Here is a 13,075-nt window from a genome sequence, read left to right as displayed (position 1 = left end):
CTAAGGAGATGACTAATTTGCAGCCCCACCCTTTGAAGTCAAAGTACCGTAAAGAGAAACAGGCAAGTAAAAATTAAAGTACACCATGACAAGTGATTAACACAGGGCTTTAGAAGGAGAGGAGGACTCTAAGTTAGAGATCAAAGAAAGCTTCAAAGATGGCTTAGGGAATGCTTTCCAGGGTGGAAAGGAGGTTAAAGGCAATTCTAGAGAAAATAACATACAATGACACAGAGACTTAAAAGAACCCTGGGTGTTTAAGAAATGGGTTACAACTCTGGCTATGACATAGGGTGTGTACAGGGGAAGAGTTGATGTGAATGACTTTGTGTGCTAAGTTTGGACTTTGCCTTGTAATTCTAAAACTCCCTCAGCTGGAACCAGACTGACAGTAAAGAGCCATCTGGATAACTTGTTAAAAATACAGATTGCTCAGACCTCACTTCTAGAAATTTTGATTCAGAGGAATCTGTGTTTTAAAAAAATTTCCAGCTGGGCTCAGTGGCACGCCTATAATCTCAGCTACTTGGGAGACTGCGGCCGGAGGATCACACGAGGTCAAGAGTTTGAGACCAACCTGAGAAACATAGCAAGACCTCGTCTAAAAAAATGAAGAATTTCCTATGTAATTCTGGAGTACATCCAAGTTTGAGAACCACTGTGTGTAGGAAATGAGGATCCGTCAAAGGGTCTTGGGAAAAATAATAACATACTTTGGAAAGAGAGGCCGGGCACGATGCCTCACACCTGAAATCCCAGCACTTTGGGAGGCCGAGGCGGGTGGATCACCTGAGGTCAGGAGTTCGAGACCAGCTTGGCCAATATGGTGAAACCCCACGTCTACTAAAAATACAAAAATTAGCCGGGCTTGGTGGCGTGCACCTGTAATCCCAGACTTTAGGGAGGCTGAGGCAGGAGAATCACTTGAACTTGGGAGGCAGAGGTTGCAGTGAGCCGAGATCATGCCATTGCACTCCAGCCTGGGCAGCAGAGCGAGACTCCGTCTCAAAAAAAAAAAGAGAGCCCTTTTTTCCAGTGGCAAATTGCTTTACAGCATGTCAAAACAGGAGATGGAGAGACCTGATAAACGAGTGTGTGACAGAACAAATCAGAAATGGCGAGCACCTGCACTGTAGCAGAGGCAGTGGGGGTGGAGAGGAGGCGAATGTTCAGAGGCATTTCTGAGAAATGTAATCCACAGGACCAGATGAGCTGTTTGATGTGAAAAGGGGCGGATTTTCATTTGAAAAGGGTGCCTTCGAGAACTGGAAGTGACAGGTAAGCAGGAAGCGTGGCTGTGTCTACAACATATGAATGTTAGCTCAAGGTGGGAGACCAGGCTGGAGCTTGCCATGGCAGGAGGCCAACGCTTGGGGCCTGCCTAGCCAAGAGCCAGAGGCTCAGATCCGGGAACCCTGAGGTTGCAGGCTTGCTGACTACCCTTTGCCTGGGGACACATCCCCTTTGTTCTACCTGTGGCTCCTTGCCAGTAGTCATCTCTCATAGCCCTGTAGTTAGGTTTGGTTTTTTTGTTTGTTTTGTTTGGGGTTTTGAGATAGGGTCTCACTCTCTCGCCCAGATTGGAGTGCAGTGTCGTGATCTCAGCTCACCACAACCTCCACCGCAGGCTCAAGAGATTCTCCTGCCTCAGCCTCCCGAGTAGCTGGGATTACAGGTGCACATACTACCTCCCGGCTAACTTTTGTATTTTTAGTAGTGACAGGATTTTATCATGTTGGCCAGGCTGGTCTCAAACTCCTTGACCTCAGGCGATCCACCCGCCTCGGCCTCCCAAAGTGGTGGGATTACAGGTATGAGCTACCGTGCCCAGCCCCTGTAGTTAGGTTTTATCTCTAATCTATATAACTCCCTGAAGCCAGAACTATGATTTATCTGTACGTTCTGAGACCCTAGCCTAGTGCTGACACATATTTGATGCTCACTAATAATTTCTAGGTGAATGAATTTTATTAATTTCCTAGATAATTACAGCTACCATAGCCTAATTATATCTGAATAGTCCTTTGGCCTCATTTTTTTGTGATAGTTATATACATTTGTATTTCTATAATTCTACATGCTTCCATTATTGCTTTCCAAAATTCACATTTTTGTGAAGAAGAAGAGAGTAAGCAAAAGACATTCCTTCCTCCCAGACATTAATTACTGCAAGATGCCTGTGTAATTAGTGAAACAGGCATCTCCTACATGTGTTAATTTAGATTCCACCAAAAAGTGCTTGATTAACAAAAAAATTTAAAAATTTTCAATTGAATTACTTTAAAACAAGGAATAATTTCCAATTTAGTTATCCAGACAAGTTGTATGGATCCAGACAGATTATTTTTAAATAAGGTGTTATGGGCCAGGCATGGTGGCTCACACCTATAATCCCAGCACTTCGGGAGACCAAGGTGGGTGGATCACCTGAGGTCAGGAGTTTGAGGCCAGCCCGGCCAACACGGAGAAACCCTGTCTCTACTAAAATTACAAAAAATTAGCTGGGCGTGGTGATGCGTGCCTGTAATCCCAGCTACTTGGGAGGCTGAGTCAGGAGAGTCGCTTGAACCCAGGAGGCAGAGGTTGCAGTGAGCTGAGATTGCACCATTGCACTCCAGCCTGGGCAACAAGAGCAAAACTCTGTCTCAAAATAAACAAATAAATAAAAAATAAAGTGTTATTATCATGTCTAAAGTATCTATTTGTCTTTTTCACATATGATGCTACATGGAATAAATTAGAGAAGCTTTACTCAAGCCCCAAAGTAGTCACTACCATGAATGATAAGTAATATAAGGAAGAAAATGTAAGACAAGTTTCTTCACTGTGTATGTGGTTTCATTCTGTTCGTGGATTGGATGATTCCTCTTTCATTAACTTTTCCATTTTCTTTGCCTTTCTTGCAGATAAGTGCCCTCTGTGTACCAAAAAGGAATGTACTGTTTATAGAGACTTCAAATCAGCAGAAAATTCAAATAGTTATAACTTTTCTTTATAATCCATCATGAAAAAGAGTAACGACAAGTAAGCAAACTAATATCAGCTATTTCAATAGTTTCTTTTCCTTTTTTTTCTTTTTGAGACAGAGTCTCGACAGGATGGAGTGCAGTGGTGCAATCTCAGCTCACTGCAACCTCCGCTTCCCGGGTTCAAGCGATTCTCCTGCCTCAGCCTCCTGAATAGGTGGGACTACAGGTGCATGCCACCATGCCCAGCTAATTTTTGTATTTTTAGTAGAGATGGGGTTTCACCATGTTGACCAAGATGGTCTCCATCTCTTGACTCGTGATCCGCCCACCTCGACCTCCCAAAGTGCTGGGATTACAGGCGTGAGCCACCGCGCCCGACCTTTTTTTTTTCTTTTTTTAATAAGTTTTTGTTCTGTCACCCAGACTGGAATGCAGTGGTGTAGTTGTCGCTCACTGCAGCCTCTAACTCCTGGGCTCAAGGGATCCTCCTGCCTCAGCCACCCCAAGTGCTGGGATTACAGGCGTGAGACACTGCACCTGGCCTAAATACAATTTCCAAGCAGATATGACTGTTAACTTACTTTGTTGAACCAAAAAAAACGTAGCTAAGATATTGGCAAAAACTAAGAAAACATCTTTTTTGGATTCTCATGTCTACATTTCAGCCTATTATTTGGAATGAATTCCTACATGTGCATAATGAATTGTACCACTCTAAGCCTATTGACTCTTTGTTACTTCACTGTGTGTGTTTCCTGGATATGGCTGAATTATCCTGAAAACCTATAATTTCCTGTTTCCCTGATCTCCAGGAGACTATTTTATGCTTCTCTACTAATATTTATGATGTGTATATGTTAGTCTCCTGTATTGACTCCACTCCTGTTTATGACCCTCTTCCTGTATACAATACCCGTCATACCTCATTGACCTTGCCCATCCCCTAGTTGTGGCTTCTCTGACCTGCCTTCATCTTTTGCTACCCCAAATCCCGTATAACATACTGTGTGCTAGGCTTAATGTGCTGGTCATTTGCCTGCTTGCTCTCAGATTCATTATTTTTGTCCTTCTCTTACTCTGTCTATGTCACAGGAAGCTGATTCCTGCCAACTGCATTTCCTGGGCTCATTTAACCATGCCCAGAAGGAATTAGGACAATGAAAGATAAAAAGATAAAGGAGCCAACATATCCTCTCCCCTTTGATTCAGACGACTTCTCCACCATCACCTTCTTCACAATGGCCACTTTTCCTCTGCAGTTGGGGTTCTTCTTCCCCAGCAATGGCTCCAGGACTCTGTTAACTCAGCTCCTCCCCAGTTCTAGAGGTAGACGGTAGAGGCTTCCTGCTATTGTTACTCTGGGGTTCCCCTTCTTCTCCAGTTTGGCTTTCCAGCCCTTCCAACTCCTTTGTAACTAGTTCCTGGTATCAAATTCACTTAACTGAACTACCTGACTTCGGCCCTGATGTTTGAGTGGACCCCATCTCACACACTGAGGTTGACAATACTTGGCAAGTTGTTAGGCGAAGAGCAAAACAATAATCATAATCATAGAAGCATTCATGTAGGTATTGCAAGGCTCACATCTCCAAAATGTCCAGTGGAGACATGAAATAATGAATATGTTACATAGTGACAGTCATTTAAAATTTTTCAAAAGCCACTTTCATTTTGTTCTTTTCTTCATTCTTTAGTAATCCCCCATCAATAGAGAAACTATGGGGGAAAGGAGCAGAGTATACAAAGAATGATGCCCACAGTGAGCCCAAAATAGCTCCAAGTGGATTTGCCTGCACGAAAGAAAGATGTAATCAGCACCCAGAGTAGGTAGCGAAACAGTCAACACTGCTGTTCCTCTCAAGACCCCTGCTGCTCTCCCACCAGAAACGTAGTCGCTCTCTGCATTAATTTGATCTTCCCATGACGTGAAAGCATCAATTATAAGTTGTACGATAAGTCAAGCTTATTATATGTAAGAGTCCAGGCCAGGCGCAGTGGCTCACGCCTGTAATCCCAGCACTTTGGGAGGCCAAGGCGGGTGGATCACAAGGTCAGGACCTCGAGACCATCCTGGCTAACATGGTGAAACCCTGTCTCTACTAAACAAAATACAAAAAATTAGCCGGGCGTGGTGGCGGGTGCCTGTAGTCCCAGCTACTTGGGAGGCTGAGGCAGGAGAATGGCGTCAACCCGGGAGGCAGGGCTTGCAGTGAGCTCAGATCACGCCACTGCACTCCAGCCTGGGCGACAAAGCAAGACTCTGTCTCAAAAAAATTAAATAAATAAATAAATAAATAAATAAATAAAGAGTCCAGGGCAGTTGTCAGTGGCCTAAATGACTAAGGAGTGACCCATCTTTTGAGAGAAGCTTTGAAAAATCAGACTTTTGTGCTCTGTAAAGGGTTTTGTGGTTTTATGACCTTGGGCAAGATCCAGTTCATCATTTCTAGCTTCTGAACAAATCTTTTTTCTGGATTTTTGAAATGGAACAGAACTACAAGCCACAAAGGGGATCCGTTTTATTATTTAAATGAAATAAATGCATGGAAATTCATGGTTCCAGTGAGGAACCATGCATTTGCTAAGACTGCTGTAACAAAGTACCATACACTGGATGATGGCTTAATGAGAGAAGCTCATTGACCCCAGCTCTGGAGGCTAGAAGTCTGAAATCGAGGTGTCAGGAGAGTTGGTTCTTTCAGGGGACTGTGAAGGAGAATCTGTTCCATGTGGCTCTCCCAGCTTCTGGTGGTTTGCTGGCAATCTTTGGCATTCCTAGGCTTCTGCTACATCATTCCAATCTCTGACTTCACCTTCACTAGCACTCTCCCTATGTGTGTGTCTGTATCTGTGGTTAAATTTCCCCTTTTTTGTAAGGATACCAGTCGTATTGAATTAGGACCCACTATAGTGATCTCATTTTAACTTGCTTACCTCTGTAAATATCGAATCTCCAAATAAGGCCACATTCTGAGGTACTGGGGATTACGACTCCAACATATCTTTTTGCGGGGAGGAGAACACAGCTCAGGCCATAACGAGCCATTTGTAGAGATTAGCTCACTATCTGTTTCTGACTCTTCTTTCCATACCTGCCTACCCATTTCTCTCCACACTGTCTCTTGACAGAACCTGTGGTCTGGAAAACATCTGGTCAACTTAGTCACACTGAGGAGTAAGTGGCCAAAGCTGCCTTTGTCTATCTGTAGTATACAGTGGTTCAAAAGGATAAAAATAATGATAGGAAACTGTTAAATTTTATATGTTATCCCTCCTCGAAATACTGCATTTTAACAAATCACAAAGAATTATACCCATTTCTCACTATAAGTCACAAAACTTGGAGTTATGAGTAAAAACTTGCTAAGCAACCCTTGATTTTCATTGTAATTAACAGAAAAACTGCATTGTCTATTAACAGAAAGATAAAATTGAGTCTCAGATTGGTGATACAATGATACGCACTCATAAGTCTCTACTTAAGATGACCATAAACCAGGTGCAGTGGTTCATGCCTGTAATTTCAGCACTTTGGGAGGCCAAAGTAGGAGGATTGCTTGAGCCCAGAAGTTTGAGACCAGCCTGGAAAACATAGTAAGACCCTGTCTCTATAAAACATAAAAAAATGAGCTGGGTGTGGTGATGCCTGTGTGGGGGCCCTAGTTACTGGGGAGGCTACAGTAGGAGAGCCTGGGAGATCCAGGCTGCAGTAAACCGTGATCAAGCCGCTGTAATCCAGCCTAGGCGACAGAGTGAGACTCTATCTAAAAAAAAAAAAAATCTATTACTATAAATTTCTTCTTTACCAGCAGTAAAAGATATAAGCATTCCTGAAGGAGCTGCAAACATAGCTACTGACATATCATCAGTATTGTTTCATAAGTGGTTCAGAGGCTATGAAATTAGCAATGCATTTAAACCACTTGAGCCAACCATGACTTCCTCAGCGGTCCAGCCCCTCCAAAAATGCACGCAGGAGCCTTTTCTGTACCAAATAAAAGATTAATTTTTTAATCTCAAGAATGTGGGATGTGATAGGATAGCTATCATATTTTTAAAAAACTTAAATGGACTCTAAGAACTAAAAACCATGATGGAAAACTTCACTTCAGGTATTATGATCTAAAACATAGTCAATTCTCATTATTCATGGTAGTTATAGTTTATAAAGTTGCTGTAAACATTGAATTAGTGAATAATGAACCATTGCTCTTAAGGGAAATACAGGGTTAGGTTTCTGCAAGCTTCTGGTTATAACATTTTTGCCAACCAAACATATAACCTTGTTTTATGTGTGTTTCTGTTTAAAGACACTTTAGCATATATTGTTGATTTGTTAACATTGAACTCACAGCTAATAGCGCCATAACTCATGCTTGAGTGAAACTGATCCAACACACGTATTTTCTCCATAAGGCACATCATAGCCTTCTTGTGCTTAAGAACCCTACGCAGCACTTAGCACTACACTTGTTGGCCATTTTAAACAGCAAAATCACCACCAAAAAGAACGAAAGTGTGAAAAACATGGTACTAAATAAACAGAAAAAGGACACACATATAGTAAGAAAGCTGAAGTGGGAAGGCAGAGTGTTGCTTTGTTGAAATTCAGCTGGGAATGTGTGCAATCAACAACTCAATTTTTTTTTCTTTTCTGCACATGTCTGCCAATGATCACAAAAGTGCTGTGGGTATTGATTCGGGAGTTATAAATAACTTTTAATGAGTAGGAGAATTTGCAGATATGAAAGCCATGAGAAATGAGGTTTGACTGTACGTCTCCCTGGCTTCTGTTGCCCATAAGCCAAAAATATATATTTTTTAAAAAAACAGGGCTTTTTTTGCCTAGCAAAGTGGGTTACATTTACACTCCATATTTGTAATTTGTCATGTGAGACCTCAAAGGATGTTGGATAACTGTAATTAATGTCCAAGCCCTGCTGCTGATTATCTGAGTGAACTTGGTCAAAGGGACTGGTTTTCCATGGGTCTCCTCTTATTATTCATAAACTGATAGTCTTGGACTACTATACACACACACACACACACACACACACACAAATATACACAAATTATCATAAAACTTTTTAAATCCAACACTCATATCCAACACTCACATTTTAAAATACTCAAAAATCAGGAAAATATATAAGGAATAGTACTCTAGACAGTGATATGATAGGAAATTTTTTACTGTATTTCCTTTTATACCTTTTGGTTTTTGAACTATGAAAATGTATTACCTTTTTAGAAATTATTATTATTATTATTATTTATCTTGAGACAGAGTCTCCCTCTGTCACCCAGGATGGACAACAGTGGCACAATCTTGGCTCACTGCAACCTCTGCCTCCCGGGTTTAAGCGATTCTCCTGCCTCAGCCTCCCGGGTAGTTGGAATTACAGGTGCCTGCCACCACACCTGGGTAATTTTTGTATTTTTAGTAGGGATGGGGTTTTGCCATGTTGACCAGGCTGGTTTCAAACTCCTGGCCTCAGGTGATCCACCTGCCGCAGCTTCCCAGAGTGCTAGGATTACAGGCATGAGCCACCATGCTCAGCCCCTTTTTAGACATTAATAAGGGGAAGAAGAAAGAGGAGGATGAGGAGGAGTCAAGAGGAGGAGGAAAAAGAAGGAGAGGGTGAAGAAAGAAAACCCCTAATAGGCATTTTGCCTTCTGTATGGTAGGGAGCAGGGATATTAAGCTCAGATTATTCTGTGACCATTAGACCACAAGGGTTTACATACTTTCATATCTTTCTATAAATCATGTACTTACAAATATCTTTCACATATCTTCTTTATAAATCATGTATTTGTTAAGTACTTACTCCAGGGACAGTTGTTAGTATGTTATTCTATTTTTTTCCTTATGCCTGTGAAGTAAGTATTCGGTTGAATCATATGAAAATGCAAATATTCAACCATTTTTGACCTGCAAAAATGTCCATTTCTTATACTCAACCCAACGCTAATGTCCCCATTTTAATAATGAAGAACCCAGGATTCACAAAAGCTGTGCCGCTGCTCAGTGGTGCCACAGTTGGCAAAAGAGACTCTTGACCAGAATCCAGATCTCCTGTTTCTACTAAATAGTGGGATGACTTTCACAGTAAATGCATAACTTTCTTTACCTATGTGTGAACTTAAATGCCACCAGGTGGCATTTCTTTAATCTTGACATCAATTAAGTCAAGATTTTCTCCCATCACCACTTGCCCTCCATTCCCAATAATTGTGTCTGGGAGGTGGCACACGCCTGGCTGCCCTGTTCTCGCCCACACCTTCCTTCTGCTGCTGCTGCTGTGCCTGGCAGGCCTCTAGAACTCTGGTATCTTTTTGTCTACCTCAGCTTTGGAGGCACACATCCTGACTGCTCCTTTTCTTTTCTTTTCTTCTCTTTTTTTTGTTTTTTTTTTGAGATGGAGTTTCACTATTGTTGCCCAGGCTGGAGTGCATGTGCCACCGTGCCCGGCCAATTTTTTGTATTTTTAGTAGAGACAGGGTTTCTGCATGTTGGTCAGGCTTGTCTTGAACTCCTGACCTCAGGTGATCCGCCCACCTCGGTCTCCCAAAGTGCTGGGATTACAGGCGTGAGCCACGGCACCCGGCCTCCTGACTGCTCTTAAGCAGAAGGTCTACCTCACAGACCACTTGACCACTTCCTCTGAAATCATGAAAACTGTCTTGGATTCAGACCGTTATCTAGTCTCAGGAAGGAGAAAAGTCCAGCTCCGACATACTGTACACACTCCAAACCTCGAGTCTCTTCAAGGCAGTGACTTTGAAATTTCAAAACCTTCATTTTTGGCTTTGGAAAGACTCTTAAACACCTCTTTGCTTATGGTTTCAAAGTCCATTTTAAAATGCAAAAAAAAAAAAAAAATCAGAAAGCAATTGTGTTTACTTTTGTTCCTTTCTTGAGGAAATAATGGCAAAATAACTGTTGCCTGAATAACGAGACTGAGCGGACGGGTAGGGATAATGGAAGAGAACAGATGGGAGAAGAGGAAAAGGGAAGTTAATGTTCAATATTCTGTCCTGCCACATTCATTGGTTGTTCTTTTCTCCAACACAGCTTTTCAGGTAGTTCTCAAATTTGAGAATGCCCATGAAATTGTTCAGGGGAGTTGCTTAAAATGCACAGACCCTGCTTTATTTGGAGAATACTCTGGACCAATGAAAACAGGCTAATCTATAAGGCTATGTTAACGTTCAATTGTGAACAAGTCCAAATTGAAGTAAGAGCATACCATCCTACAAAATAGAAGGAAATATATTAGGTGAATGAAACTGAAATTTATTTTTCAACCAAGCGTTGAATAGCAATCTGGTGCTGTTTGAATAGCAACGCCCATTGTGACTTCGGATCCATGGGCTTTTTGATTTGCCTGTGAAGCAGTTCTTTTAAACACAGGTGGGATGCTGGGCTATTATTTAACCAAGACTCTTGGACAATAGAACCACATCAAAACAGCATGACAGTTCAGAGGACAGTCAAGCAAAATGTGCTTCTGTGCTATATCTAAATTGCAAAGGAGAGGAAGGACTCGGGAAAACAGTGTAATTAGAGGCAATTTAAGCTCCCTAGTAGGAGGAAAAGCAAAATAGTCTATATTTAAAATTGTAGTGGGAACTTGAAGTTCTAAGGTCATAAAGGTAAGGCTCAGGGAACAAGGAGAAGAGAGGGCTAAAAGGAAGAAGGCACAGTGTGTACTCAGACACCTTAAAGAACCAGAGAAACAGTTCTGGGAGAAAAGAATAGTAACATAACATTTCTCTTAAGCAGTATAATGAGAGATATCAGGCTGGAGAGAAAAAGAATAGGAAATGTGGGGAGAGGTTTGACAAGGTAGGAAGAACTGAGATGAAAGCAGATTGAATATTTGTGAGAAAGAAAATAAAATTTGATTTTTTAGGTAGAAATATTTTTCTAGTGCAAAGTCTCCAGGCATGCAAGTCATGTTTGATTTAGATTATACAGCTTTATTGGGCTCACTATATATTTTTCTTTCTTTCTTTTTTTTTTTTTTTTTTTTGAGATGGAGTCCTGCTCTGTCACCCAGGCTGGAGTGCAGTGGCACAGTCTCGGCTCACTGCAACCTCCGCCTCCCAGGTTCAAGCAATTCTCCTGCCTCAGCCTCCCGAGTAGCTGGGACTACAGGTGCCCGCCACCACACCCGGCTAATTTTTGTATTTTCAGTAGAGATGGGGTTTCACCATATTGGTCAGGCTGGTCTCAAACTCCTGACCTCAGGTGATCCACTCACCTCGGCCTCCCAAAGTGCTGGGATTACAGGCATAAACCACCATGCACAGCCTATTTTTCTTAAACTACCTTAAAAAGTGCTACCCAATCTTGTTGGCCACAGTTCAGAGGAGGGTTATGGAGCCTTATAGAGTGTCAGAGAATTTCCTCTCCTGAGGGGTAATTTTGCTTTCCTACATGGTCCTGCCATACTGGGAAAATAAACATGGGTTGTTTCTTCGACAAGAAACAACTCCCAAAACGACTCTAGTTGTTAAAAAGGAGGCAAAAATACCAATGTTTCAAGTTTTTCTTGTAAAAGCTTTCTTCTTGCACAATATTCCCTCATGGCTGCATAATACTTTAACTTTTAAAAGTAGTGCACTTGGCCAAGTTCAGTGGCTCACGCCTGTAATCCCAGCACTTTGGGAGACTGAGGCAGGTGGATCACCTCAGGTCAGGAGTTCAAGACTGGCCTGGCCAACATGGTGAAACCCTGTCTCTACTAAAAATACAAAAAAATTAGCCGGGCGTGGTGGCGGGAGCCTGTAGTCCCAGCTACTAGGGAGGCTGAGGCGGGAGAATGGCATGAACCTGGGAGGCAGAGCTTGCAGTGAGCCAAGATCGAGCCACTGCACTCCAGCCTGGGAGACAGAGCGAGACTCCATCTCAAAAAAAAAAAAAAAGTACATATGCTGGAGCTCTCTGTTTCAACCTGCCTAAAGCTGTCTCTCCTCCAGCTGTTTCAGAGTCACACTGATCCAAGGAACAGGGATTTATTCCTCTCACATTTAACAGGAGGAAAGCTTGAAGTAGCATAACCTGATAAAGATTCTCCAACTGGGCCAAAGACTCTGTTTTCTGTGCTGTTCCAGTAAGTGCCCCTCCCTAGCTAAGAAACTAAGAGGCAGAAATTGACCTATTCATCATTGTGTGTCCACTCTTGGGTAGTAGGGCAGCCGTGGTTGAAGCTTACCTCACAACCTCTCTATTATGGAGGCCACAAAAGCACTTTGAAAACTATAATGCATTATAGCAATGTAGGGTACTGTTGCAATTATGTTAGAAACAGCAACCCATTAAAGAGTAAGGGTTTTTTGCATAGATCACACCCACCCCTCATTCCTTTATCATCATCTATGTGAGCTACTTTGGGACTAACTTGTCTTGCTCCTTGGTGTCATTAAGAGGCTATTCATGTTATCACAGAGGGGTACAAAGAAGACTTCAGCGTTTCAGGAGTATTCCTTTATTTTTAAAAAAATGTCCGTCTGGGCACCATGACTCATGCCTGTACTCCCAGCACTTTGGGAGGCCAAGGCAGGAGGAGCTCTTGAGCCCAGGAGTTTAAGACCAGCCTGGGCAACACAGCAAGACTTCATCTCTACTAAAAAATGTTAAAAATAGCCAGGTGTGGTGGCCCATATCTGTAGTCTCAGCTACTCAGAAGGCTCAGGCGGGAGGATTGCTTGAGCCCAGGAGTTCAAGACCAGCCTGTGCAGGAATCCAGCCCGCAGACCCTGAACCAGTGATGGATGAGAGACATACACTGACACAGATATTTTGCCTGTCAGTCTGGCTAAGGGGCTCTGCTCTGCATCTGGAGCATCACCTCAATAAGCTAGCAAAGTTCACATTTATTTAATACAGATTAAATGACAAAGGTCTCGAGTAAACACCACTAGAGGGTAATTAACATTGCTCACCCCCTGAGTAGAGAGCAATTATGCACCTGAGGTTGATCAAAGTTTGGTTTTAGGACCACATGAGTAAGCAAGCTATTTAGATAAACTTCCTCACATTCCCTTGTTATTTTCATTTTTGCTATCAGCTAAAGGTAGAGAGGATTAGGCTGCTT

General features: G+C 42.3%; 1 long non-coding RNA gene across 1 annotated transcript in view; it reads left to right on the top strand.

Moving 5' to 3' along the window:
• Positions 1 to 13,075, top strand: part of ACTR3-AS1 (ACTR3 antisense RNA 1) — a 59,810-nt gene that overhangs the window by 12,822 nt on the left and 33,913 nt on the right. The window lies entirely within an intron of this gene.

The sequence above is a fragment of the Homo sapiens genome, chromosome 2 (assembly GCF_000001405.40).
Source record: "Homo sapiens chromosome 2, GRCh38.p14 Primary Assembly".
Taxonomy (NCBI): Eukaryota; Metazoa; Chordata; class Mammalia; order Primates; family Hominidae; genus Homo; species Homo sapiens.
This window is presented reverse-complemented; position numbering and strand designations above follow the sequence as displayed.